A 27852-nucleotide genomic window follows, 5' to 3' on the forward strand; every position below is an offset into this window, starting at 1 on the left:
TCTGGAGGCTGGGAAATCCAATATCAAGGGGTCGGCATCTGGAGATGGCTCATCCGGCAACGGGAGGCAGAAGGGCACGGGAGTGCCTCCAGAGAGCCAGAGAGCAAAGGGGCTGCACTCCCTTTACACCAAATGCACTCTGCAATCATGGTATTGATCCTGCACTTGAAGGGAAAAAATTCTATAACAGAAGTAGTATTTGTTGTCTCCTGAGCCCATCTGGATCTACCTGAACTTGCTCCTTTTGGTAAGAAGGCAGCGTTTTGACTTAAGTGGGTGAGGAAGTCTAGCAGCCTCAGGTCCCCACATGGAATGCCTGTGTATACTTGTCAGCATCAGTTACAACTCCTTTAATCCTCAGCGTGTGAAGGAGGGAGAGGATTTTTCTCTTTGGCAGTGTCTGACAGATTCTCCTGTTTGAGGAACGTTGCTGGCTAGTGACATGGAGGAGCACTCACCAAGAGAGAAGGGGTTGATTTTATCACTGAAAGCCCAGCTCTGTGGTACATTCTAGAAGCTCTCAACATCTAAGTGAGTTTTACTCAAAGACTTTTCTGGGAAAAAGGAAACCTTCTGAAATGAGAGATTGTTGTTTAAATTCTCATTCTTCTTTCCCCTTCTCTCCCCAAGTCTGATGGTGCGCACCAGAAGCTTCTCCGTCCTATTGAATCTAATGAGAACATCACGTGGGCAAGCGTTCAGTTAACACCCAAAAAGAGCTGCAGCCACAGACTGGCACTGCATCAGGAAAGGCAGACGGGAACACATTCTAGTGAAATGCAGGAAGTTAGAGACACGAGGCAAAAAAGATGTTAAAGAGTTTTGTGTCAGAGATAGCAGAAACTCCTTAATTACTTTTTGGAGTTTGGATTTCTAAATCACAGCTTTCTGGAAAATTCAGATTCTTATCAGTAAAAGATCCTGCTTTAGGTTATTTAATATTTGGAGTCTTATTATCATTATTTGTACTTTATCGCACAGGTTGGAGTGCAGTGGTGCAATCTCGGCTCTCAGCAACCTCTGCCCCCGGGTTAAAGTGATTCTTGTGCCTCAGCCTCCCAAGTAGCTGGTATTACAGGCACTCACCACCGCACCTGGCTAATTTTTGTATTTTTAGTATAGACAGTGTTTCACCATGTTGGCCAGGCTGGTCCCAAACTCCTGACCTCAAATGATCTGCCCACCTCAGCTTCCTAAAATGCTGGGATTACAGACGTGAGCCACTGTGCCTGGCCTGGAGTCATATTATTTTGTAAAAGCAGTAAAGAATATAAAATGGTAACCATAAAGAGGAAATATTTTAATACAGCAAATATATCTGAAATTTGACCCCCTAAGCATATCAGTATTCCCCCCATCTAGTCCTCTATATATCCATATTATTTGTACGTAAACAAAAGCATTTTTATCTTCCACCTTTCCTCTGGTATATCGGAAGTGTTTTACACACTTCCTCTGAGGAGTTTTGATTATATTAAATATTATATGAAATATTTCTACACTTTACTATCATGCCCTTTAAAACATTTTTAAAGCCTAAAGGAAGGTACTGCCATTCTATTTCCCTCCCTTTGTTAAAGTCACCAAGATTAATTTGATATTGGTTGACTGAGACGGTCTTACTCACCCAGGCTGGAGTACAGTGGCTTGATCATAACTCACTGCTGTGACCTCCAACTCCTGGGCTTAAGCGATCTTCAGGCCTCAATGTCCTGAGTAACTGGGACTACAAGTGTGTGCCACCGTGCCCAGCAAATTTTTAAAAATATTTTTTAGAGACAGGGGTCTCACTATGTTGCCCTTGCTGGTCTTGAACTCCTGGGCTCAAGTGATCCTCCCTCCTCTGCCTCCCAAAGTGCTGGGAATACAGGTGTGAGCCACTGCACCTGGCCTAATTTAATGTTTATTAAGAACCACCAATGAAATACATGTTGTTGCTAATCTGTGGAATGGGTTAAAGGGTACAAAAAAAGCAACACCAAGACAAACAGGCTTTTGTGGATTTTTTTCTCCAGAAACGGGGAAAACAATATCCTTCGTTCATTCATACTTAACAATATCCTTCATTCATTCATACTTATTCACTGGATCAAATGTTACTTGGATACCTACAGTGGGTGAGGTGTATCCTCAAGGTGTACCCTACAAGGGATACCATAGGGACACTCAGTGCCTGCCCAGGGAGCTCACTGTCCACCAGGAAGACGGCTCCCACATACAGCATCAGGCGACGTGGCGGGAGGGACACAGACTAAGTTCCACAGGGTACAGAGGACAAAGAATCGAGTTCAGCCACGGTGACCTGGGAAAATATTGTGCAGGGACTTTAAATTGGAGTTGGGGAACAGATAGAGAAAAAGAAGGCATTTTATTGTCAGGGATGAAAGAAGTGAAGTCACCGAGGAAGGGAACCACTGGGCATGTGGGAAGAACAGTGAGCAGCCCCCCACAGGCTGGCTGCAGAGTAAGGGGTGGCCAGGCAATGGGGCAGGCCCGCTGCTCAAAGCCCTTCATGGAAGGCCTCGCAACTTTGCTTAAGCAGGAACTCACAGGTGGCTTTCAATTAGGTGAGTGACTTCAAGAGGGGGCTTTAAAGCATGAGTCTGAGCAGTTGTGTTCAAGATAGGCTGAGTGGGGGCCAGCCTGCCCAGAGAGTGCAGGGGACAGCCCAGGGAGCCGGTGGCAGAAACTGAAAGGAAGGGCCACTGGAGGAGGTGCTAGGATGGAAGAACAAAGGGATTTGGGACAGCAGACAAGGGAGAAGTGCACGGGTTATTCTGGGGTTTTGAGTTTGGGGTGATGAAATATCCCACAAATGGAAGGAGCATGGTCAGGAGCAGGCCCAGGGTGTGGCCCGTCCTCAGTCCAGCTGCTCACCGTGGCTGGGGTCCAGGTGGACCCAGGTGCAATGCAGAGCTCATGGGAAGGAGGGAAGAGGCTGGAGTTGATCACAAAGAGACGCGGACCCAGAGGTGGACAGGATCTCTGAAGGACGATGCCTAAAGGGGAAAGAACAAAGGACAGAACTTCTGGGAGTGCCCACACTGAAGGAGAAGCAAAAGAGGAAGAGACAAAGAAGGCACTGCCAGGGCCTGGAGGTCGGTAAATGCACTGCCGTGAGGTCGGGGGACAATGAGGGGGTGCCTGTGTCAGGTGCACTGGGGCCAACCTTGACGCTGAGTTCAAAACACAGACCAGGAGCTCGAGGAAGAAACGGTGCCCCCTTCTGAGAACTTTGCTGGTGAAAGGGAGAAGAGTGGTGACAACTCGATTTCCCTTTTGAGGCTGTCCTAGAAGCTGGCACTTCAGTTGTCACAGGGCAGTTCATTTGGACCCATATTTCTTCCAAAATAGTCTGTGGAGGGGTCACTGGCGCCCAGCCCTTTGCGCTTCCCCACGGTGCTGTTCTTCCAGGCAGGGTGGGTCCATCAGCTGCCTCTCCTCACCACACAACGCAGATTCCATGCATCTGTAGAACTGGAAGACTCCCCCGCAGTTATAGACATTTAACAGGAATTGAGTCAGAAAAAGCTCAGATGTTAACGCCTAAGGCAAAAGAGAAAAGGACACAACCCTGAGTCCAGCCTCCTCCAGCTGGGGCTGGCCACTGCGCTGGTCCTGTTTGCCTCTGGGTGTTAGCGGAACCTCCTTCCCCTCCACTGCCATCCCTAACATCAGCCAACATTGAGCAACTTAAATCCAAAATGCCACACACCCCAAAGGTAACAGATTGAAAGAATCCCAGAGTTGGAAGGAGTCTTAGAGGTAACTTAGATTATATAACAGGGATTGCCAAAACTACTGCCTGCAGGCCATCCCGCCACTGCCCTTTTTGGGTAAAGAAGTACCGGTGGCTGGGTGTGGTGGCTCACACCTGTAATCCCAGCACTTTGGGAGGCCGAGGTGGGCAGATCACCTGAGGTCAGGAGTTCCAGCCCAGCCTGGTTAACATGGTGAAACCCTTTCTCTACTAAAAATAGAAAAATCAGCCAGGTGTGGTGGTGAACACCTGTAATTCCAGCTACTCAGGAGACTGAGGCACGAGAATTGCTTGAACCCGGGAGGCAGAGGTTTCAGTGAGCCGAGATCACGCCACTGCACTCCAGCCTGGGCCACAGAGCGAGACTCTGTCTCAAAAAAAAAAAAAAAGTGCTAGTACACAGCCACACCCATGGGTCCACTTAATAACCGTGGCTGCTTTTGTGTGACAGTTGTCAAATTTAGCAGTAGCATCGGACACTATTTGTCTCACAATATCCAAAATATTTACTATCCAGCCCTTTACAGAAAGGGTTTGCAGAGTTCTGGATCATACGCTGGCTCGCTAACTAGCTGTGCCTTTACTGTGAACAAACAGGCCTTTTTCTTTCAACCTGGGCAAATTACAGTGTTTTTAAAAAGCACCAAGAATACTTTTTGGAAGTCGGAGTTTTCTGTCAAGTGGCTTTGGCTATACTCCAGATCTTTTTGATTCATTTGGCTGTAGAGCTGGATGGGCACATGGTATAAAAACAGTTCTCAGACCTCACTCTTGTTTCTGCTCAATCCCTGTCCTTTTAACCAGCACAATGAAAGTGCCTCAGTCAGCAGAGTCAAGTAGGATAACCAGAGCAAAATGTGAAAACGAGATTAGAGCTGTGATTAGAGGCTGGGACGTGTGCTGAATTCCCTCTAATCACGTGATATGAGCTAAGGCCACCATTTATCATAAAACAAACTGTCCAGCTTTGGGAGACATGGAATGGATGACAACTGCATTTTAAAACGTGTTCAAGTAAATGAAGCATAGTCATTTTGGAAAACAAGGAAGCAAAGCTTAATAGCTGAAAGGGTTTTCAAGTTTTCACATGTGTATGTTCCTAAGGGATTTTCGTTACTTTTGTTCTGAAGTGAGATGTGAAGTGGTTTCCTTTTTATTAGCATATGAATAGCAGGGCCATTTGATTTGGGAGAGATGCACAAATGAAAGTCAATTAACATTTGGGGGGTGAGTCCACCAACCTATCATGAATTTACCTGAGTAAAGTTAGGTGAGAAGTCCTCCTGCGTGGGGAAAGGTGCACCTGTGAGCTGCCGATCGGGGAGGAATCATCACGGGCTTTTTGGAAAGTGGTTTGGCAATATGCATCAAAACCCTTAACAGAGTTCATATCCTTCACCCAGCCATCCCGCTCCTAGGAGTCCACCCTAAAGAAATAACCAGAGATGTGGAGAACAGTTATGTACAACAAGCATTATTTAACATAGCCCCAAAGTGGAAATAACTTAAGTGTCCAACAGTGTTCAACAACTGGGTTCTGCTTAAACAAAATGTCATGCATATATAGGGTGGAATGTCATGAAGCCTTTAAAACCATGATTTTGAAGAAAACAATGTGGAGAAATTTTCATAATATATTAAGTTTTAAAAATCAGGATAAATATACAGCATGATCCAAATTTCATATAAGCATACACTTAGAAAATACCTCAAATAAAAGAAATCAAAATGTTAGCAGAGGTGTGTGCAGTCAGATGCAAATCCGTAGAACTCATCTTCATGTTTCAGTGTCTAATGTGTCTTGACTTGGTGGTTTTTTTTTTTTCCTTGACTTGAGATTTCTTGGACTTCTGAATCTATGGATAGGATCTTTTGTCAATTCTCACAAATTCTCAGCTATACTCTTTTCAGATATTGTCTTTGCTCCCTCTCTGTCTCCTTTACTTCTAATATGTTGATTAGACACATGTGAGACCTCTCGCCATTCTTCATGTCTCTGAATCTCTTTTTCATACCTGTCATTTCTTTGACTCTCCATGCTGCATTCTGGATAATTTCTTCGTGTGTGTGTGTGTGTGTTTGTGTGTGTGTGTGTGTGTGTGTGTGTATATATAATTTATTTACTTATTTTTTGAGATGGAGTCTCTCTCTATCACCCAGGCTGGTATGTAGTGGTGCAATCTCGGCTCACTGCAACCTCTGCCTCCTGGGTTCAAGTGATTCTCGTGCCCCAGCCTCCCCAGTAGCTGGGATTACAGGTACCTGCCACCATGCCCAGCTAATTTTTGTATTTTTAGTAGAGACAGGGTTTCACCAGGTTGGCCAGGTTGGTTCTTGAACTCCTGACCTCAGGTGATCCGTCTGCCTCAGCCTCCCAAAGTGCTGGGATTACAGCCATGAGCCACCACACCTGGCCTCTTTAGCTATATTTTTTAGTTCACCTATTCTTTCTTCAGCTATGTGTTAAATCCATCCGTTGAGTTTTAAATTTCAATTATTATTACTATTTTTTAATTTCTAGAACTTCTATTTGGTCATTATTTATTTCTTATTTACCTCACATATTTCTAATCTTGATTTTTTTGTTCTTTAAATGTTTACATTCTGTGTCTGATAATTCTAAAATCTGAAGTCTTTGTAGGTCTATTTCCACTGACTCTTGTTTCTGTTTATTCTCTCTCATAGGGCCTCATTGCTTTGTGCATGTAATGAGTTTTTATCTGTAAGCTGTGTAAGGGAACATTTTAAAAATGACTTTTTTCTTGCTGCAAAAAGGGAAAAAGACCATTACTCCTTCAATAGCTACTCACTGGAAGATCTTGTGGGGCTTCTTTGAGACATAGGATGGAGATGATTCCTCCCAGGAGGATTGGCAGGTGCTTCTCCCAGGTTGGAGACACCTTAAACCCAGCTGTCACCTTGAAGGGATTTTGTCCAACTAGTTCTGTGAGCTCAGACTAAAAATATGCCTGGGAACTAGCTTATGGTTATAAGTTATCTGGGGCAGGATGACCCCTTTCCACTGAATACCATGGATTAAACAGGCAAAGTTTCTTGCAGTCTTAGAAGGGAGTGATTACTAATTCTTTTCTTTTTTTCTCTAATTTTTAAGCCGAGTACACAGTCTTCTGGGATGTCAACTTTTGCCTAGTAGACTCTTTGGGTAAACCCTGGACTTTACCCTTGACCACTGTGTCTCACAGGGCCATGAAAACTGAAGCTCAAATTCATCCTCAACTCCTTTCTTTTTCTCCATGTTGCACCGTGACCATGACAGGATATCCTACAGGCCCCATCTTCCATTTATATCCAGCTTTTGACCCCTTCACACCACCTCAACTGCCACCTCAACTGCTACCTGCATGCTGGGCCACCACTATGCCCAGCCTAGATGGCTGTGCCAGCCTCCTAAGCAGCCTCCATGCTCCTTCCCTGCCCTCTCATAGTCTGCCCTCAGCACAGCAGCAAGAGTGGCCCTTTCATAAATCAGATGATACCACTTCTCTGCCCAAATCCCTGGGAGCTTCCTCATTTCACTTAAGGCAAACACAAAGTTTTACAGAGTGACCTGTGAGCAGGGCCCCCCCACCACCTCCCCTCTCCAGCCTTGGTAGCCCCCACTGTCCCTCGCTCACGTGTGCATGCTGGGTCACCTCCTGATGTCTCCTGGGCCATGCAGGCCTCACTCTTCACCACATATACCTCACCTCCTTCAAGGCTTTCCTCCAATGTTGCTTTCACAGTGAGGCCTACTCAGCTGGGGTCTTCTTTTCTTTCCTTTTTTTTTTTGAGACGGAGTGTCGCTCTGTCGCCCAGGCTGGACAGATCTGCAGTGGTGCCATCTCGGCTCACTGCAACCTCCGCCTCCTGGGTACAAGCAGTTCTCTGCCTCAGCCTCCTGAGTGGCTGGGATTACAAGCACCCACCACCACACCCAGCTAATTTTTGTATTTTTAGTACAGACAGGGTTTCACCATCTTGGCCAGGCTGGTCTTGAACTCCTGACCTCGCGATCCACCCACCTCAGCCTCCCAAAGTGCTGAGATTGCAGGTGTGAGCCACCATGCCTGGCCTCCTTTTTTTTTTTTGTTTTTTTCTTAAAAGAGGCAGGGTCTTGTTTTGTCACCCAGTCTGGAGTGCCATAGTGTGATCACGGCTCACTGCAGCCTTGGACTCCTGGATTCAAGCGATCCTCCTGCCTCAGCCTCCTGAGTAGTTGGGACCACAGATGTGTACCACACACCCAGCTAATTTTTTATTTTTTGCATAGATGGGGTCTTGCTATGTTTCCCAGGCTGGTCTGGAACTCCTGGGCTCAAGCCATCTGTCTACCTCAGCCTCCCAAAATGTTGGGATTACAGGTGAGAGCCACTGTGCGAAGCTCGGATTTTATTTTCAATAAAAATATTTATCTTCCACATTTATTTGTTTGCCAAGAATTAGGCAGTTCTACCTGAAACTCTCCTACTCTGCTGATGGGAGTGTAAAACGGTACAACCCCGTCTGGCAAACAGTTTACAGTTTACTTAAAAAGTTACATATGCACTTGCCATACAGCTCAATCACTGCACTCTTAGACCTGACAACATGCGTCTCCACAGTCTTGTAAAAATGCTCACGCTGGTCCAAATTGTGATGGCCAATGTTATGTGTCAACTCAACTGGGCCAAGGGGTGCCCAGACATTTGTTGGAACCTGATCCTGGGTGTGTGTGTGGGTGTCTCTGGATGAGATGAACATTTGGATCTGAGGTCAGGTGTGTGAAGCAGACGGCCTCCCTGACGTGACCCCACCCTGCCAGTCAGCTGAAGGCCTGAAGAGATCGAAGGCTGGCCTGGCCTTCCTGCCAGCAAGAGGAAATTCCTCCAGCCTGACTGCCTTCAAGCAGGGACAGTGGTTTTTTCCCTGATTTCAGATTCCAGCTGAAATATCAGGTCTTCCTGGGTTTGAAGCCTACCGGCCTTCGGACTAGAATGACAACATTGGCTCTCCTGGGTCTCCAGCCTCCATAATCACATGAGCCACTTCCTTAGAATAAATCTCCGTCTAGCCACCTACCCAGCTGCATCCTATTAATCCTGTTCTCTGGAGAGCCCTGAGTAATGTACTACCCAAAAGCTCGTGAGCAGGTGAATGTGCACACAATGGGACTCCCAGCAATGAAAAGGGACACAGGACTGCAGCCTGCGGCGGCAGAGATAAATCTTGGAAACATGAGTTGAGTGAAAAAGGCAGCCACAGAGGAGTCCATACAGTATAGTCCCACTTACATGAGGTTCCAAAAAGGTGATAGTGCCCAAAAGCAGGTCAGTGATTGCCTGGGCCTGACAGTGAAGGAGAATTGACAAGGAGCACAGGGAAACTTTCGGGGTGACAGAAATGTTCTTGATTTGATTGTGGTAATGACTACATACACATTTGGCATACAAATGTGGGAAAAGTAAAAAAAAAAAAAAAAAGAGAGAGAGAGAAGAAAAGAAAAAGAAAAACAAGAAGCCAAGCACAGGGGCTCACACCAAGTAATCCCAAAACTTGGGAGGCCAAGGTGGGAGGATCACTTAAAACCAGGAATTCAGGACACACGCCTGTAGTCCCAACTACTTGAGAGTTCCAGGCAGGAGGATTGTTTTTGCCCAGGAGGTCAAGGCTGCAGTGATCGTGCCGCTGCAATCCAGCCTGGGTGACAGAGAGAGACCTTGTCTCTTAAAAAAAAAAAAAAAAAATGGCCGTGTACGGTGGCTCACACCTGTAATCCCAGCACTTTGGGAGTCCATGGTGGGTGGATCGCTTGAGCTCAGGAGTTTGAGACAAGCTTGGGCAACATGGCAAACCTCATCTCTACCAAAAATACGAAAAATTAGCCGGGCACGGTGGCACGCACCTGTGGTATCAGCTACTCGGGAGGCTGAGGTGGGGGGATCCGTTGAGCCCGGGAGGTTGCAGTGAGCCATGGTAGCACCACTGCAGTCCAGCCTGGATGACAGAGTGAGACCCTGGCTCATAAATAAATAAATAAATAAAAAATAATTAAAAAAAAAACAGAATTCTCCAGCCCTGGCAAAGGACTAAACTTTTCTCTGATGCTCCAATCTGTGTCAGATGAAGTTTCAGCCAGAATCCAATGTTTCATTCATTCATTCATTCATGCATTTGATCACCATTAAGTGCCTACTGCATGGTAAGCCGTGGTCCAGGCAGATTCAGTCCCAGCCTACCTGGAGCACAGATGGGCATGGAGGTCTTCGCTAGGTCCCCTTTCCACCTGTAGGCAGTAAAGCCAACATTCCCCGTCCTCCCAATCCCCACCATTTATGGAAATGAGATCCTGCCATGTGAAGTGGCTGACTCTGAAAATAACATGGCAAGTCAGAAGAGGCACTGGTGTTAGAACTTGGGAAATTCTTGGTGGTTGTTGTTGTTGTTGTTGTTGTTTGTTTGTTTTTTGAGACAGAGTTTCGCTCTTGTTGCCCAGGCTGGAGTGCGATGGCGCGATCTCCGCTTACCACAACCTCTGCCTCCCAGGTTCAAGCGATTCTCCTTCCTCAGCCTCCCGAGTAGCTGGGATTACAGACACCTGCCACTACACCCAACTAATTTTTGTATTTTTAGTACAGACAGGGTTTTGCTGTGTTGGCCAGGCTGGTCTCGAACTCCTGACCTCAAGTGATCCGTCTGCCTTGGCCTCCCAAAGTGCTGGGATTACAGGTGTGAGCCACTGTGTCTGGCTAAACCTGAAACTATATCTTGTCTGTGCATTTTTGATTTGTATCATTTGTATTTTTTATAATTTGTGTTTGTATTTTATATAATTTGTATCACCATTTTGCATGTTTTCTGAGTACCAATCTCACCACACCGTCATGAAGTATGAAACTCTAGTTGACAGCTGAAGGAAGGGAAACACAGAACTTTTCAATGTCACGTCCAAGTCCACACACTGAGTAAGCGGAGAGCCAGGATGGAGGGGGCCCTTAAACATGAGGCGGCTCTGCCCCCACCTTCGCAGGTGTTGGGGCATTTGGTTCCCGTGACACCCCAGCAGGTGCGGTTATTATCCCTGTGCATTTTATGAGGAAAAAACAAAACCTGGAGACGTTAGATCACGTCCAAGAGCTCGAATTCAAATGTGGGGCTTTCAGGTCCGAAGCCCATGTTCCTGGACTCTACCGCACTGCATCTCAACTCTGATGATGGGAGCAGAAGAGTTGACAGAAAGCTAGGAACAGGAGAAGGGAAGGAAGAGGGAGAGACAGAGGCAGGGAGAGAGGACACAGGAGCAGCAAGGCCTCTACCTGCACAGCCCCTGGGCCCACCCTGGAGAAAACACTGTTCTTGGAAGACCTGAGCGGCTGGTGAGGGGGGACAATGGAATGCACATCTGTATTCTAAATCAGCCTAGAAAGCAGATCAGAGCATGAGAAAGGGCCCAACATCTGTATTACTAATAATAGTGCTTCCTACACCTGCCGTCCAGGGATCCAGAACAGAGAGGAGGGCCAAACAGCAGCTGAGCAAAGCGAAGCAGGGAGCCAGCTTTCTGGGAAGAGCCGGTGTAGTTTGGGGGCTGTAGAAATTAAGGCGGCCTCCCTTGCGCTTTTGTGGGCCTTTGCTTTGGTTCTTTGGATGCTGGGGTAGGCAGAATAATGTCCCCCCAAAAATGTCTACGACCTAACCCCCAGAACCTGTGGCTATGTTAGGTTACTTGGCAAACTGGGGATTAAGTTGCATATGGAATTAAGTTCTCTGACCAGCTGACTTTAAGATGGGGAGATTCTCCGTGTGGGCCCAACGGGATCACAAGTGTTCTTAAAAGTGGACGAGAGAGGCAGGAATGCAGGTCACATGATGCCACAAGCCCAGCGATACTCATTTTGGACATCTAACCTCTAGAACTGTAGGCGAATTGGCTCGTGTTGTTTGACGCCGCTGCATTGGCAGTGACTTGTTACAACAGCACAGACAACTCACAGAGATGGCAAAGGGAGGGACAGTTTTCAGGACCTCTGCCTTTCATCTTCCCTTACTCCGTGTCAGGAGCATCGTCAAGCAACCACTGGATTCCACTCACTGCTTTCCACCTCTGCCAACCGTGTGTTCTCAGAGTCCAAGCAGCTCTAGACTGAGTCCTGGTGCGGAGGCTCCTCTGCCATGCAGCAGACCCAGAGGAGCTCTGCTCTGCCCAGACCCAAGGCCAGCTCAGAGCAACCTACAGAGGCGGCAGTGGCACCGGTTGGGGGCGTGGGGGAGAGCCTGGTTTTGTGAGGCCTGAAGCTCTTGAAGGGAAAAAATGCACAAGTACAAATATCGAGTTAGGTATGAATGTAAATATTGATTCAGAATTGAATGCAGAGACTTCCCTCTGGTACTCCATCTACAGAAAGGGGAATGCACTGAGACTGAGTGGCAGGGGACTCAAGTTGGGCCGAGGGCTGTGAGGTACTTCGCTCTTGCAAATTTTCCAGAAACACCTGACCAACCCCTTGGAAGGCCTTGGAAGGCCTTGGAAGGAGCCCAGGCAAGTGAGAGGCCTGATGCACATGCCTCACAGGTTCAAATTCAACCCTTCTGTGGGAGGTGGAAGGGAGTGGGTGGGAGGGAGACAGTGGTCCCATGCAGACTGCCCATGACAACAGATAGAGAAGAAAACAGGACCAGGCACTGTTGCTCATGCCTGTAATCCCAGCCCTTTGGGAGGCCGAGGTGGGCAGATCACCTGAGGTCAGGAGTTCAAGACCAGCCTGGCCAACATGGAAAAACCACATCTCTACCAAAAATACAAAAAACAAAATTAGCTGGGCATGGTGGCAGGTGCCTGTAGTCCCAGCTACTCGGGAGGCTGGGGTAGGAGAATCACTTGAACCTGGGAGGTGGAGGTTGTAGTGGGCTGAGATGGCACCACTGCACTCCAGCCTGGGCAACAGAGCAAGACTCCATCTCAAAAAAAAAAAAAAAGAAAACGGAGAAGAAAATTATCTCATATATATATGTATATTAATATATACATATACACATACATATATACGTACATATATATATATTCAGGAAAACAGGCTTCCTAAAGAAAGCAAATTGTAGGCAGGAGAATTGCAGTGTTAGAAGTTTATGGATATGCAAAGCATCTTTTCTCCAATGGGCCCACAGCACTGTAGCTGACTTGCTTAACAAGCAGCATTTATGGTCCGTTAACCACCCACTTCTCCTGAAAACAGAAAAATCATTACTGGATGGTGCTGGGGTTACAGTCCTATTTAGGTTATTGTGACAATGTCCCTACACTAGCATTGCATCCTCGTCTCACAAGACACTCCCTCTGGGGCTACTCCTGGCCTTATTTTTTTATTTTTTATTTTTATTTTTTTGAGATGGAATCTTGCTCTATTGCCCAGGCTGGAGTGCAGTGGCGTGATCTCAGCTCACTGCAGCCTCTGCCTCCTGGGTTCCAGCGATTCTCCTGCCTCAGCCTCCTGGGTAGCTGGGATTACAGGCGCTCACCACCACACCTGGCTAATTTTTGTATTTTTAGTAGGGATGGTGTTTTGCCATGTTGGCCAGGGTGGTCTTGAACTCTTGATCTCAGATGATCCACCTGCCTTGGCCTCCCAAAGTGCTGGGATTACAGGCATGAACCACTGCGCCCGGCCTCATTTTTAATTATAAATATGTATACTATTAATGGCATTTGCCCCTTTATATCGGGTATGGTTATAAAAAAATAGTGCATTATAGAGACCATAGAAAATAAAATAAAGGACTAAGAACTGTGGCTCATGTCTGTAATCCCAGCACTTTGGGAAGTCAAGGCAGGAGGATAGCTTGAGGTCAGGAGGTCAAGAGCAGCCTGGGCAACATAGCGAGATCCCATCTCTACAAAAAAAAAAATAGTCCCAGCTACTCTGGAGGCTGAGGTGGGAGGATGGCTTGAACCCAGGAGGTCAAGGCTGTAGTGAACTATGATGGGGCCACTGCACTCCAGCCTGGATGACAGAGAGAGACTTTGTCTCTTTAAAAAAAAAAAAAAGAAGGTAAAATAAATAAGAATCATCTGTAATTCCAGAAATAATCATTGTCACTTCATTCTAGTCTTTCTTTAGGATCTATAACCATGTTGTCCCTACCTGTCTGGCTTTTCACATCAACCCTGTGAAATCTGCTTGGGGAACTAGCAGCAAGGACAACACTCCACCTTTGAATAACTGAAGCAGAGCTTAATGAAGAGATTACTCACCGGTCATCTAGAGACCACAGGGACAGTGCAGGGACTGTCAGAAGGGGGGACAGAGTGGGCAGCTCCCTTTGCTCCCTGCCAGGGCTCCTGGGGTGGGTAGGGCCGCCACAGTTCAGGCGGATAGTGGAGCCCCTAGTGGTGTCGGAGGACTGTCCTGTATTTTGGTAACTAAGTCAACAAGGCCCGAGAAAGTCCCCTGAGGCTGGATTTGGCCCATGAGCCTTCAGTTTGAGACTTTTGTGGGGTACTTTTTCTTCTTCCTTTTTAGAGACAAGATCTTGCTCTGTTACACAGGCTGAAGTGCAGTGTGGCATGATCGTAGCTCACTGCAGCCTCAACCTCCTGGGCTCTAGTGATCCTCCCTCCTCAGCCTCCCCAAGTAGCTGGAACTACAGGTGTACACAATGACAACTGGTTTGTTTTTTGAGTAAACTTTTTATTGACATGTAATCCATACACACAAATCTAATAAAGCCATTAAAAACTCCCATTTTTCTATTTTTTAAATGTGACCTGAAAAATTTCTTAGAGTTGAAGTTAATTTTAAAAATGAAAATAACTTTTATAAAAATTATGAAAACAACATAAACTCACTTTAGAAAAATCAGAAAATAGAGATGAGTATAAAGAAGATAGTTGAAATCAAAGTAACCTTTAAGTTAGTGATGTCCAAAGGGTTTAGACTGTAAAGGACCAAATAAAGAAGGTAGGGGCTTGAAGCCCCATAGAGTAACTCTACATTTGGTTTAAAGAATCAGGAAAGTTCTTAAGTTAAAGTTTCCTGCATTAGTTAATTTCAGGCATTAGTTAAAATTCCAGGATGAAGTGTTTGGGGGGACTTTTGAATAATTTTGATGTTTGTAACCATCGGTGGATATAATCTGTTTTGCGTAAAGCTTAATTCTTTAATTAAATGAGTTTTTAAGAAACTCTTTCTTTTGAGGACTATTGTTTTTAACTTCATAAAAAGAAATTATTAAATACACTATTTAATTTTAATAGATATGGTGTATGCTCACATCTGTAATCTCAGCACTTTGGGAGGCTGAAGCGGAGGATTGCATAAGCCCAGGAGTTCAAGACCAGCCTGGGCAACATAGTGAGACCTTGTCTCTACAAAAAATTATAAAATAAAATAAAATAATAAAATAAATTGCCAAGCACAGTGGTGCTTGCCTGTAGTCCCAGTTAGTAGGGAGGCTGATGTGGGGGAGGCTGAGATGGGAGAATGGTTTGAGCTTGGGAGGCTGAGGCTGCAGTGAGCTGTGACTGCTTCACTCACTCCAGCCTGGGTAACACAGCAAGACCTTCTCAAAAAAATAAATACACTACAGTAAAAATTTCTCCAATAGACTTATGTTATTGTCAAATATGGTAAAAAAAAAAAACAAAAAAAAAACCAGACACTTTCTAACATCAGGAGGAGCAGCATTTAAAATATGATAGTCTTGCAAATAAATGAATAAATGATATAATTCTTTGTTATGACTATTACTAGCTGTGGTGGTTTTAAAATATGCCCACATATTCTTTTTTTTTTTTTTTTTGAGGCAGAGTTGCACTCTGTCACCCAGGCTGGAGTGCAGTGGCACCATCACCATCTCACCTCACTGCAACCTCTGCTTCCCGGGTTCAAGCGATTCTCCTGCCCCAGCCTCCTGAGTAGCTGGGATTACAGGCAACCGCCATCACGCCCGGCTACTTTTTGTATTTTTATTAGAGACGGGGTTTCACCTTGTTGGGGTTTCACCTTGTTGGCGAGGCTGGTCTCGAACTCCTGACCTCAAGCGATCCACCCACCTCGGCCTCCCAAAAGTGCTGGGATTACAGGCGTGAGCCACTGCGCCTGGCCACATTTTCTTTTGAACTACCAGTGAAAATAGCTCTATTGAATCGGGGGTGAGGAGTATCAATTTTCCTACAACTTCTGTGTCCTGCTTTATTGACCAGCCGAGCATCAGTGACATAAATGGGGGGCCTTTCCGTTCCAAAGCAGATATTCTGGGCTATCTGACCTAACTCAGAGGAGGCAGCCTCACCATCCCACACCTGTCATCCTAGCGCTCAGGCCAGGCCCCTGGCGGGGAGCCTCCAAGGGATGACAGCGTGGCCCGCCCGAGGCCACAGGGAGGTGGGCGAGCTGTCACCTTCGATGGGACAGCCCGGGCTGCGTCCTGAGCACCCGGCCTGCCCAGGTGGCCTGGATCCTCGGCGGGGTCCCCATCCCTCTGCTCCGAGTGCGCCGAGGGCCGCGTGGAGCCCGGAGCGCCAGGGAGGGAGCCTGGAGGGCCGCCTGTCTTTTCGAGCTGCGCTTCCAGGGACTTCGCGTTTGTGCCTGGCGGGCTGCGGTTGGAAGAAAAGTGCCAACATGGCAGCTCCAGGGTCAGGCCCCTTCTTCCAGGAGGCGTTTCTCAGCCACACCAACGCGGCACTTCTTTTCCCTTTTGGCACAGAAGTGAGGAAGAGCAGCTGAGCTGGTCTCGGTCTCCCAGCTCCTGCAGTCTGAGGACCCCGGGATGCTCCAGCCAGGGCAGACCCGCGCGGGGGGTGCCCTTCCCCCACCCCCTTCCCTGCGGGATGCCCCCTTCCCTCGCCTCCCCCGCGGGGTGCCCCTTCGCTTCCCTCCCCACCCCTTCCCCGCGGGGTGCCCCTCCTCCCGGTGTCGCCTCCTTTCAGGTGCCTGCCCCTCCCCCATGTGTCTCCGCCCACGTCCGCCCCACCCCCACGCGTGTCGCCCCCGCCCCGTGTCCTCCCCCGCCCCTGTGGAAGGGAGGCTGGGGCTCCCGGGACCAGCAGGGAAGCAGCTGGCAGAGAACGTTGAGTGTTCTCTCTGCCAGGGCCTTCACCACCCTTTTCGGGGCCCTCACCCCGACCCACACCGCTTCCATTCTTGGGTGCAAAGGGCCTTCCTTAACAGTCGGCGGCAGCTCTGGGGCCGGCGCATTTTTTTCTGTGGGGGACACCCGGCACAAGAAGGGTGGAGGAATGGGGCTGCGCGTCACTCCCACAGCTTCTTAGAGAGCCGTTCGCAAGGAGGACCGAGTGTCACGTGAGTGAGCTGGAGGAGGTCACGTTACCTTCCTCCTGTGAGAGGCTCAAACACAGCTCAGGATTTTACCAGTATGGAGAGAAGAAACCTTCAGGCGGGGCGCGGTGGCGCTCCTGTGGCCCCAGCTACTCTGGAGGCCGAAACAGGAGGATTGCTTGTGCCCGAGTCGAGGCTGCAGTGAAGCCGATTGTTTCACTTTACTCCAGCCTGGGCAACAGAGCAAGACCCTGCCCCGACCCCCAAACACACACACACACACACACACACACACACACACACACACACAGAGAGAGAAAGAAAAAGAAACTTTCGGGAACCGGACAGCTTTTCTGTGCACTGGAAGGCACTCACCCCCCTGGCCTGGTAGACTCCTACCCATGAATCTGATGTCAGCTCAGACGTCTTCCTCCAGCTGCCTGTAGGACGCCTAGACCAGAAAGGGCGCCTCTAGATGCCCTCCTAGTTCTCAGGCCTTTTTCTTCATAGCACGTGTCACCGTTTGTGAGAACAAGTGATTTCTATGATTGAGAACTGTCTCCCCTTCTCGTCTGTGAGCCCTGTCAGTTCGGGGTGTCTGATTCTGCTCCCATGCTCAGTACCCAGAGGCTGATACATAGTATGCACTCGATAAAAAAAGGTTTTTGAGTGAATGAATCAATGTATCTGATCCCAGCTCTGCCTTTTACTAGCTCTGTGACACACTCAGATACTTAGCGTCTCTGAGTTTTACCTTCCACATGTGCACAGTGGTGCTAAGTGTTAAATAAGATTTATGGGAGGCCATTGAATTGGGCTGAGCTCCTGCACTAGGCCCCAGTAGGCCAGACCAAAATGGAATCACTTGTGCTAAGTGCCACGTAATCAAACTGAAACTTAAACAAAACAGGAAAATCCCCCACCAGGGCCAGTTTTCCTGAAAAAATAGGAGACTACCAGCAACCAGTCAAAAGGGGGCCAGTCCACTTGAGCCTGCATAAGAGAGGTTTCCTCCGCTTAAACTCATACAAGGAAATGTGGAGGGGTCCAGGTTGTTGGCGTTTTGAGCAAAGAATTGAACAAAACGCACAAACAAAGCAAGGAAAGAAGGAAGCAACAAAAGGAGAGATTTATCGAAAATGAAAGTACGCTCCACAGGGTGGGAGCCGCTGGAGCATAGGGGCTCTTTTTACAGAATTTTCTGGGGTTTAAATACCTTCTAGAGGTTTCCCATTGGTTACCTGGTGTACACTCTATGTAAATGAAGTAGTGACCTGCAACCAGAGGCTGAGGTGAAGTTACAAAGGTTACACCCGATGCAAGCCTCTGTTTGCAAAGTGAAGTTACAAAGTTACAGTTCTATGCAAAGGAAGACTTGGCCCACAATCAAGCTGATTGGTTGTGGGAAGCGACCAATCAGAGGCTGAAGTGAAGTTACAAAGTTACAATCCTATGTAAACGTCTGATTGGCTGCCCTCAGAGACACTTTCAATTTTCCATCTGCCAGGCAGAAAAGGGTGGGGGTTTGCAAAGGGAGTAGCCTCCGGTTTTTTGTTTGTTTTTTCTTTTTTGAGACGGAGTTTCACTCTTGTCGCTCAGGCTACAGTGCAACGGCGCGATCTCCGCTCACTGCAACCTACGCCGCCCGGGTTCAAGCGATTCTCCTGCCTCAGTCTCCCGAGTAGCTGGGGTTACAGGCGCCCGCCAACACGCCAGACTAATTTTTGTATTTTTAGTGGAGACGGGGTTTCACCACGTTGGCCAGGCTGGGCTGAAACTCCTGACCTCAGGTGATCCGCCCACCTCGACCTCCCAAAGTGCTGGGATTACAGGCGTGAGCCACCATGCCCGGCTACCTCCGGTTTTTTTGTTACTTAGGTGTGAAAAGTTGGGGTTTTCCTTTTGATTTAGTTCTAGGAAGTCAGCGTGAAATCGGCCTTAGGTTCCCTGCCTCCAGACCCTATTCTCCGCCTCAGAAAGTCACCCAATGATAACCAATGCACTTTTCTCACCACACGATTTCCTCATTCCTGCTTGAGCTGCCTTACCAAAGCCGATTGTTCTGCAACACCCAGCCGAGTGCCTTCTGTTTTGTAGTCTGGAGGCTGCCTGTTTCATACATTGCTAATAAGAGTCAATTAAATCTTTAAAACTCAATTTGTCAAAATGTTGTTCTTTGGTGTCAGAGACCAATACTGTAGGGAATTTGTGTTCATTGACTGAGCTCAAGTACATAGAACAGCTGGAGGGAAGAGACGCGCAGGGCAAGGTATGAGGTGGGGGCTGCAGGTGCACCACATTCCCACAACTTGGAAACTCTTCCAACCTGCTTGTTCAAGAGCTTTTTTAGAGCTTGATTTCTAGTCCCCTCCCCTTCTCACAGGTCTAGGGGTGAGGCTGAAGGATCCAACCTCCTACTTACCTGGTCTTTCCGGTGACCAACCCCATCCTGAAGCTATCTAAGGGTTCACCCTAAGTCACCTCAGTAGCATAAACTCAGATGTGATCAATAGGTGCTTCATTATGAATAACAAAAGACACTACTATCACTCAGGAAATTCTAAGGGCTTTAGCGGCTCTGTGCTAGGAACCAGGGACAAAGACCAAATATATTTCTCTAAATGTACCCTATCATCCTAATGGGCTCAAGGTGGTATCTTATTGTGGTTTCGATTTGCCCTTTCCCCAGTGATTACTGACATTCAGCATCTTTGGTGCTTATTAGCAATTTGTATGTATTCTTTGGAGAACTGTTTATTCATGTCCTTTGCCCATTTTAAAATTGGGTTGTTTGGGTTGTGCGTGGTGGCTCCTGCCTGTAATCCCAGCATTTTAGGAGGCCGAGGTGGGCAGATCACCTGAGGTCAGGAGTTCAAGACCAGCCTGGCCAACATGGTGAAACCCCGTCTCTACTAAAATTACAAAAATTAGCAGGGCATGGTGGCAGACGCCTGTAATCCCAGCACTTTGGGAGGCTGGGGTGGGGGAATCACGAGGTCAAGAGATCGAAACCATCCTGACCAACATGGTGAAACTCCGTCTCTACTAAAAATATGAAAATTAGCTGGGCATGGTGGCACGTGCCTGTAATCCCAGCTACTCGGGAGGCTGAGGCTCGAGAATTGCTTGAACCTGGGAGGCAGAGGTTGCAGTGAGCCGAGACTGTGCCACTGCACTCCAGCCCCAGTGACAAGAGTGAAACTCAGTCTCAAAAAAGAAAAAAACCAAAAAAACAAAAATTGGGTTGTTTATTTTTTTGTCATTGAGTTTAGGAGTTTTTTGTTTTTTGTAGTTGAGGGTTTGTTGTTGTTGTTGAGTTGCTTATATAGTCTGAATATTAAACCCTTATCAGATATATGATTTACAAACATTTTCTCTCATTCTGTGGGCTGCCCTCTGTTGATAATGTCCTTCGATACACAACAGTTTTTACTTTTGATTGATTTGTCTATTTTTCTTGTTGTTTGTGCTTTTGGTGTTGTAGCCAGGAAACCACTGATGCTAAATCCAGTGTCATAAAGCTTTCCCCTTGTTTTATTCTAAGAGTTTTACAGTTTTAGCTTCTACATTTAGGCCTTTAATTTTTTTTTTTTTTTTTGAGACAGATCCTCCCTCTGTCGCCCAGGTTGGAATGCAGTGGTGCCATCTCGGCTCACTGCAATCTCTGCCTCCCAGGTTCAACAGATTCCTCTGCCTCAGCCTCCCAGGCACCTGCCACCATGCCCAGCTAATTTTTGTATTTTTAGTAGAGCCAGGGTTTCACCATGTTGGCCAGGCTGGTCTCGAACTCTTGACTTCAAATGATCCACCCACAGCCTTCCAAAGTGCTGGGATTACAGGCGTGAGCCACCGCGCCCGGCCTGATCCATTTTGAGTTAATTTTTGCATATAGTATGAGGCATCCACATTCTTTTGTGTGTGGATATCCAGTTTCCTAACACTATTTGTTGAAAAGACTGTCCTTTCCCCAGGGACTTTGTTTTGTTCACTCCTGTATCTGCAGTGCCAGAAGAGTGCCTAGCACATAGAGTCTTCATAAGTGTTTGTTTAGTTACAAATAGATAAAATGAGATGTGCTCTTTCCAGGCCTCTGCTGTCCCTGTTCCACAAAATAAGACCACTAGATGAGGCCAGCTCCAAGGCTCCTTCCAGCTCCTCTGTGACTCTTAACTCATGAAATGCTTTCCAGACTGGAAGGGAGCATTTGCCGAACACACTTGGGGTGGAGGAGAATGGAGACACCCAAATTTATTTTCAATACATTCTGTGTTGGAAGAGGGACATTGTAGGACATTTTCCCTCTTATCCTATTCTCAGTAGTGTTATTCAGCCCAGATCCACAGGAAGGTCTCACAACTTGAAACTGTGTATCCAGGGCATCCCCAGACAGGAGGGTTTTTAAAGAGAACATTAGGAAAGCACACAATTTAATCTTTGTATTTTCAGGGGTTTTATACAGGGCCACATTGGAAAACCAAAAGGAGGCTCATAGTTATAAGTTTAAGCTCTTTTTTTTTTTTTTTTTTTTGAGACAGAGACTTACTCTGTTGCCCAGGCTGGAGAGCAGTGGCATGATCTTGGCTCACTGCAACTTCTGCCTCCTGGGCTCAAGCGATTCCCCTGCCTCAGCCTCAGCCTCCTGAGTACCTGGGATTACAGGCACCCGCCACCATGCCCGGCTAATTTTTTTTTTTTTTTTTTGTATTTCTTTGTAGAGACAGGGTTTTACCATGTTGGCCAGGCTGGTCTCGAACTCCTGACCTTAAGTGATCCACCTGCCTCAGCCTCCCAAAGTGCTGGGATTACAAGCCACTGCACCAAGCCTGTACTTATTCTTTTCTCTGTGATTGCTGTTGTGTTGATTTTGTTATTTATTTATTTACCCATTTAACTTTACTTCAAGGAAAAGCCATTTGGTACAGCCTGAGATGTTTCATCAGAAGAAATAATGATGTTCAAGAGGAAGAAAATAGAAAAACTAAATGGAATGTAAAGTCTTGTGTAGGCAAAGCCCTTATTTCCAAACAGACATTTAATATGTGTTGGCTAGCCCCAGGACTAGACATGATAATTTTTAGTGTTTCCAATCTAAGGATCTCAAAAATATTTTATACATGTGAAAATGTGTGATTCATTCATTCATTTATTCAATGCATGCTTATTGAGTGACTACTATGTGCTGGGCATGTGCCACTCCATGGTGTCGGGGAGAGGACAGTGAAAAAAACAGCTCAAGGTTCCTGCCCTTGTCTTATACATAAGGTCTATTTAAAGACAGGAATCAAAATGAACCAGATCTGTAGTGTGCTAGATGATGCCACATGCTGTAGGGGAAAGGGCACTGGGAAGAGGAGGACAAGGTGGGGAGGAGCTGCAAGTTAAAACTGTGGGGTTGGCTGGGGGCAGTGGCTCATGCCTGTAATCATAGCACTTTGGGAGGCTGAGGCAGGTGGATCACCCGAGGTCAAGAGTTTGAGGCCAGCCTGGCCAAAATGGTGAAATCCTGTTTCTACTAAAATACAAAAAATTAGCCAGGTGTGGTGGTGAGTGCCTGTAATCTGAGCTACTCAGGAGGCTGAGGCAGGAGAATTGCTTGAACCTGGGAGGCAGAGGTTGCAGTGAGCTGAGATTGCGCCACTGCACTGCAGCCTGGGCAACAGTGTGAGACTCCATCTCAAAAAAAAAAAAAAAAAAAAAAAAAAAAAAAAAAAAAAAGAAATAAAAAACAAACCTGTGCTTTTAAACCTCTTACCTTCTATGTTTTACAGTCATTCACTCATTTGTTCATTCATCCATTCATTTGTTACTTCAACACATATTTATTGAACACCTACTGTTCACCAGGCACACAGTAGGCTACAATTGCTCTGATGTTGTAAGATAATGCACTTATTTTCTATATGAAGGATAGTGATATATGCATATTTTCAAAGAGATTTTTGTTTCATTTATCACATGGTAGCCAGTACAGTTGCCAGAGAAAGTAACTGAAGACAAACAATTCTGCCGTTGTTAGGAATTTATTGTCAGTCACAGAGCATGTGATCTGGCTAAATATAGACTTCAGAATTTCTAAGAAACAATACATGTAAGATAATTCATTAACTCCCTACTACTCGTTTTCTTTATCTCTTTGGGTAGTCCAGTTAATAGTAAAGTGTTATTGAAAATAAAAATTTACAGGTTTTTAGCTCTGTCCTGTTCAATATTTTTACCAATGACTTGAATAATGACAGAGAAAGTCCATGTACTTCATTTTCCAGTGACGCCAAGTTAATACAGTAAATGACTCAACTAGTTGGGCTGGCACCCAATTAACAAGATGATTCAGCGAGGACAGTGTTGGATGTTCCACTGAGGCTGGATGAAAAATGCCCATTGCAGGGGTCCCAGAATGCAGAGGCTTTTCTGGGCAGCTGTTCATGTGAGGAAATCAAATGAGATAGTGTAAGTGAGAGCAGTTTGTAAACTGTGCATTTACAAATGTTAGATATTTTATCAGTAAAAGTCCTGGGATTTCGTTGTCTACAAGCCCATAGTGAGCCCACATGGAGACAGAGGCAGCTGAGAAGGAGTGGTCCGGTGAGCAGACACAGAAGGAAAGAGAGCAACAGAAAAGCAGCCGTGGGCAAAGCCCCCAGGAAAAATGCTGTGGGCAAGAGCAACTGATGGATGCTAAAACCCAGGGGGAAATTGTGAGGAGACAGGCTTTGCATAATCTCAGAGTATTTCCCCAAGTTGTTAGCTTTATAGTAGAGAAACTGGGAAGATGCCCCGTAACCAAACAGCCAAGGTGTGCTTAACAAAGTCACTATGGTATCATGCACCCCTTGGTGTGATGCACTGAGAAGGGCACACTTCATTTCTGTGGTCATCTTGCCAAAAATGTCAGACGACCAACCACCTAAAAAGGAAGCAGTTAAGTAACTTTGGGAATTATCTAGGTTGCAGGTATATTCGTGCCTGTCTTTGCCTTGTAAATAATGGACATTATTGGCTGTCATTTTTGTTTGTTTGTTTGTTTGTTTGAGATGGAGTCTCCCTCTGCTACCCAGGCTGGAGTGCAGTGGCACGAGCTCAGCTCACTGCAACCTCTGCCTCCCAGGTTCAAGTGATTCTCCTGCCTCAGCCTCCCATGTAGCTGGGATTACAGGCACCTGCCACTACTCCCAGCTAATTTTTTTTTTTTTTTTTTGTATTTTTAGTAGAGATGGGGTTTCACCATGTTAGCCAGGCTGGTCTCAAACTCCTGACCTCACATGATCCATCCGCCTCGTCCTCCCAAAGTGCTGGGGTTACAGGCGTGAGCCACTGTGCCTGGCCCCAGGAATCTATTTTTAACAAGGCCTCCAAGTGACTCTTGGGTAAGCTAAAATTAGAGAAGCAGTAGGCTACTATGAAACGGAGCCTCTAGTTTTAGGAAGTGCTCAGCTCACACAAACGTGGGTAGCATCGTTGCTCAGCGTCATCTCTTTGGACTGCAATCCCCTCCCAGTGATCCTGGATTTCTGGATGCGGCTGTTTTCAAAGCGCAGGGTATTTTCAGCAGGATCTCACCATAGTGGGCCCCACCATGCCCAGGCTGAGAGCTCTGCCTGCTCTGTTAGTGAGGAGGTAGGGGTGCCGACCCGCCTTTCTGACCCTACCCCCTCCCTTCTCTCCTCTCACCCCCCTCCTCTACCTCTCACCACACCCAAACCTCCTTTCTTGATGGCAAGCATCGCTTCTGTACCCCTGCGGCTCCCTTGGCTCTAGTGTTAGTCACAGCTTAGTGGAGGAGCTGTGGGCTTGCATCTGAGGACCTGGGCTTCAGCTGGGGGTCTGCCATTTACCAACCGTGCTTATTAACCCACAGTCCTTCCCGGAGCCACTGCTTATGTTTTCTGCATCCTGGTGTGACCTCAAGCAAGTCTTTAGGCCACGTTTTTTCCTTCAGACCAAAGCTTTTTTTATTTTTTATTTATTTTCTTTCTTTCTTTTTTTTTTTTTTTTTTTAGACAGGGTCTCCTTCTGTTGCCCAGGCTGGAGTGCAGTGGCGCCATCATAGCTCACTGCAGCCTCCACACCCCCCACCCTCCTCACCCTCACTAGTAGTTGGGACTACCTACAGGCGTTGCATCACCATGCCCGGCTAATTTTTTTTTAAACTTGTTTTGGAGGCGGGGTCTCACTGTGTTTCTCAGGCTGATCTTGAACTTTTGCACTCAAGTGATCCTAACACTTCGGCCTCCCAAAGTGCTGGGATTATAGGCGTGAGCCATGTGCAGGACCTGGACCAAGTCTTGATTCTCTCTGGTTCCTCCCAACTGAAACATCAGGATGCCGCCCCGGGTGTCCATGGGGCTGGGGAAGTTGCTGAGCAACCTTGCCCTGCGAGAGCGAAGGCGGGCGTGTCCCTCGGGGGCGTACCCCGAGTGGGCAGCAGGGCCAGCCCGCGCGTCCCTCAGGGTCAATGCTGGGGCCCTGAGGGTGAGGTCAGCTGTGAGGTGAGGTCTGGTGGCCGAGGGGAGGTGCCCAGCGTGCGCGTCCGCATCCGGCGGGCGACAGAGCAGCCCCGGAACAGGAGCTTCCCGGCACCGGCCGTGGCGTGGCGCCCTCCGCTGGGCCGTTCTCCCCCGCAGCCGCTAAGTCAGCATCGCCTACTTTCCCACTCTCGAGTTTGCCCCTCTTTGCTGCCCGGCAGCTGGGTGTCCCATGTCCCCTGCCCGCCAGTGTGCGACCGCGGCCTCCCGCGGGGCGGTGACGGCCCCTCTCCTTCAGCCTGACCGCCGCCAGCTCCCTCGGCGTGTCCGGGGTGGCCAGGCCTTGTTTAGAGTAGCTCCAGCGTTTGAATCGCGCAGGCACAAGAAGGCCGTCTCCTCACCGCGGGCCAGCGGGGCCGGCCAGGGCCCGGGCGGAGGGGGAGCCCGGGTTCCGCGGTCGGGTTGTGGGGCCGGCGCTGACCTCACCGCATGGGCCCCTGCGGCCGCCGTGGCTTCTCACGCGGCCTGACTTTGGACTCGAGTGCAGGCTCTTAGCTGAATCTCTGTGTAGACAGGGTGGGTGGGACTCCGCCCTGGGGTGGCGCTGGGGGCTCGGGTCTCCCGCCGCAGGCCTGTCAGCGGGGCGCTTCCCGTCGATTCCAGGAGCGCCCGCGTCTCTGCTCAGCGCCACGAGTCCAAGCGTGGGGGAGGACGAGACTTTCAAGGCGGGGGGTGACAGTGCCATCCAGCCCAGAATACCCACCCCCAGTGGCGGGCTGCCGTGCCCAGGCCCTGATCCCTGCCCCTGCAAACATCACTTTCTATCGCCCACGGGGCTCTGCAGATGTGGCCAGGCTAAGGGTCCAGAGTTAGGGAGATTGTCCTGGATGATCCGGGCGGACCCTAAATGTCATCAAAGTGTCCTCGTAGGAGAGGGAGAGGAGGCGACCGTGGGGGCAGAGGCTGGAGGACCGCGGCGCCCGGGACCTGCCCGCACCTGACTGCAGCCAGGTGGCGCCGATTCCGGACGCCCAGAACTCTGTGGGAATGCAGCTGTACTGTGCGGCGTGTAAACCACCGCATCTGTGGGATTTTGTTAAAGCAGCCACGGGACCACTCCACCCCCTCCAGCTGTGGTCCTTTACCCGGCGGCGGCCACCTGGCAGCAGCCCGGTTCCCCATCCTGCGGGGTTCCTCCCGCCCGCAGACCGGCTCGGCCATAAAAACCTTGCTGAGAATCAAAGAGAGAGAAATATATGGAACGGAAGAGTCGACGATTTTGTGTAAAGTTTAGGGTTTGTATTCATCGATATATATTTACATATATGCACACGCAAATATGTATGTTTCCTTTGAACTCAACTTTATTGGCACAAAATTTACATATAACAATATAGATTTATTTTAATGATGCAGTTTAGTGAATTTTGAAAAACCTCCATACCTGTGCAGCCGCCACCATCGCGGTGGTGAGGACGGAGGCGGCTCTGGAGCTTACCCCTGGAGTGCGTGTGGTTAGAGAAGCCTTGAGACTCGGGCTCCCATCGGTGATGCTAAGTTTTCATTTTTCTTAAGAAAAATGTTCTTCCGGCCGGGCGCGGTGGCTCATACCTGTAATCCCAGCACTTTGGGAGGCCGAGGCTGGCGGGTCACGAGGTCAGGAGTTCGAGACCAGTCTGACCAACATGGTGAAACCCCGTCTCTACTAAAAATACAAAAATTAGCCGGGTGTGGTGGCGGGCGCCTGTAATCCCAGCTACTCTGGAGGCTGAGGCAGGAGAATCGCTTGAACCCGGGAGGCAGAGGTTGCAGTGAGCCGAGATTGCGCCATTGCACTCCAGTCTGGGGGACAAGAGCGAGACTCCGTCTCAAAAAACAAACAAACAAACAAAAAACAAACAAAAGTTCTTCATTTCCAGACCACGCTGCCATTCTGTGGTTTCGTATCTTCCTCATGTTTTGTCTGGCTTGAGCCCCAAATATTTTAAGAGCAAATCTGAGAGTACAATGAGAAGGAACAGAGTGTGTACACAAATACACCCACACACATTCACACACACACACATATATGTACACACACACACATACACTCGACTCCCCCCCACACTCATACATTTAAACACCTATACTCACATACTAACACTCATACCCCCCATATACACTCATACACTTACACACGGATACACTAACATCCTCACAGACACCCACTCACATACACAGGCTCACACACATTCACAGATACACTCACACACACATACACTCAGATACAGACACAATCAACATACACAGACACACATTCACATGTACAGACATAGAGATACACACACATACACATTCACAGACACATAGACACACACACAGACACACTCATACAGATACA

General features: G+C 47.8%; 2 long non-coding RNA genes across 2 annotated transcripts, besides 4 other annotated features; one reads left to right on the plus strand and one right to left on the minus strand.

Annotated features, from left to right (window-relative positions):
• Nucleotides 1–405: 405 nt before the first annotated feature.
• LINC01072 (long intergenic non-protein coding RNA 1072) lies at nt 406–935 on the plus strand. The gene is made up of 2 exons (NR_126380.1): nt 406–531; nt 631–935. It is a non-coding gene; the product is annotated as a long intergenic non-protein coding RNA 1072 (long non-coding RNA).
• A 2097-nt stretch (nt 936–3032) lies between these two features.
• On the minus strand, nt 3033–17494 carry LOC105370101 (uncharacterized). Its single transcript, XR_941719.3, has 3 exons — nt 17410–17494; nt 5017–5187; nt 3033–3546 (listed from the first exon to the last, which is right to left on the minus strand). It is a non-coding gene; the product is annotated as an uncharacterized LOC105370101 (long non-coding RNA).
• Nucleotides 15974–16023: an enhancer, noted in NCBI's record as "active region_7415". NCBI's record gives its function as "activates an Ori minimal core promoter by ATAC-STARR-seq in GM12878 lymphoblastoid cells {active_cell/tissue: GM12878}" and the evidence as "EXISTENCE:reporter gene assay evidence [ECO:0000049][PMID:35858748]".
• Nucleotides 16194–16253: a silencer, noted in NCBI's record as "silent region_5148". NCBI's record gives its function as "represses an Ori minimal core promoter by ATAC-STARR-seq in GM12878 lymphoblastoid cells {active_cell/tissue: GM12878}" and the evidence as "EXISTENCE:reporter gene assay evidence [ECO:0000049][PMID:35858748]".
• Nucleotides 25330–25379: an enhancer, noted in NCBI's record as "active region_7416". NCBI's record gives its function as "activates an Ori minimal core promoter by ATAC-STARR-seq in GM12878 lymphoblastoid cells {active_cell/tissue: GM12878}" and the evidence as "EXISTENCE:reporter gene assay evidence [ECO:0000049][PMID:35858748]".
• Nucleotides 25830–26049: a silencer, noted in NCBI's record as "silent region_5149". NCBI's record gives its function as "represses an Ori minimal core promoter by ATAC-STARR-seq in GM12878 lymphoblastoid cells {active_cell/tissue: GM12878}" and the evidence as "EXISTENCE:reporter gene assay evidence [ECO:0000049][PMID:35858748]".

The sequence above is a fragment of the Homo sapiens genome, chromosome 13 (genome assembly GCF_000001405.40).
Source record: "Homo sapiens chromosome 13, GRCh38.p14 Primary Assembly".
Taxonomy (NCBI): Eukaryota; Metazoa; Chordata; class Mammalia; order Primates; family Hominidae; genus Homo; species Homo sapiens.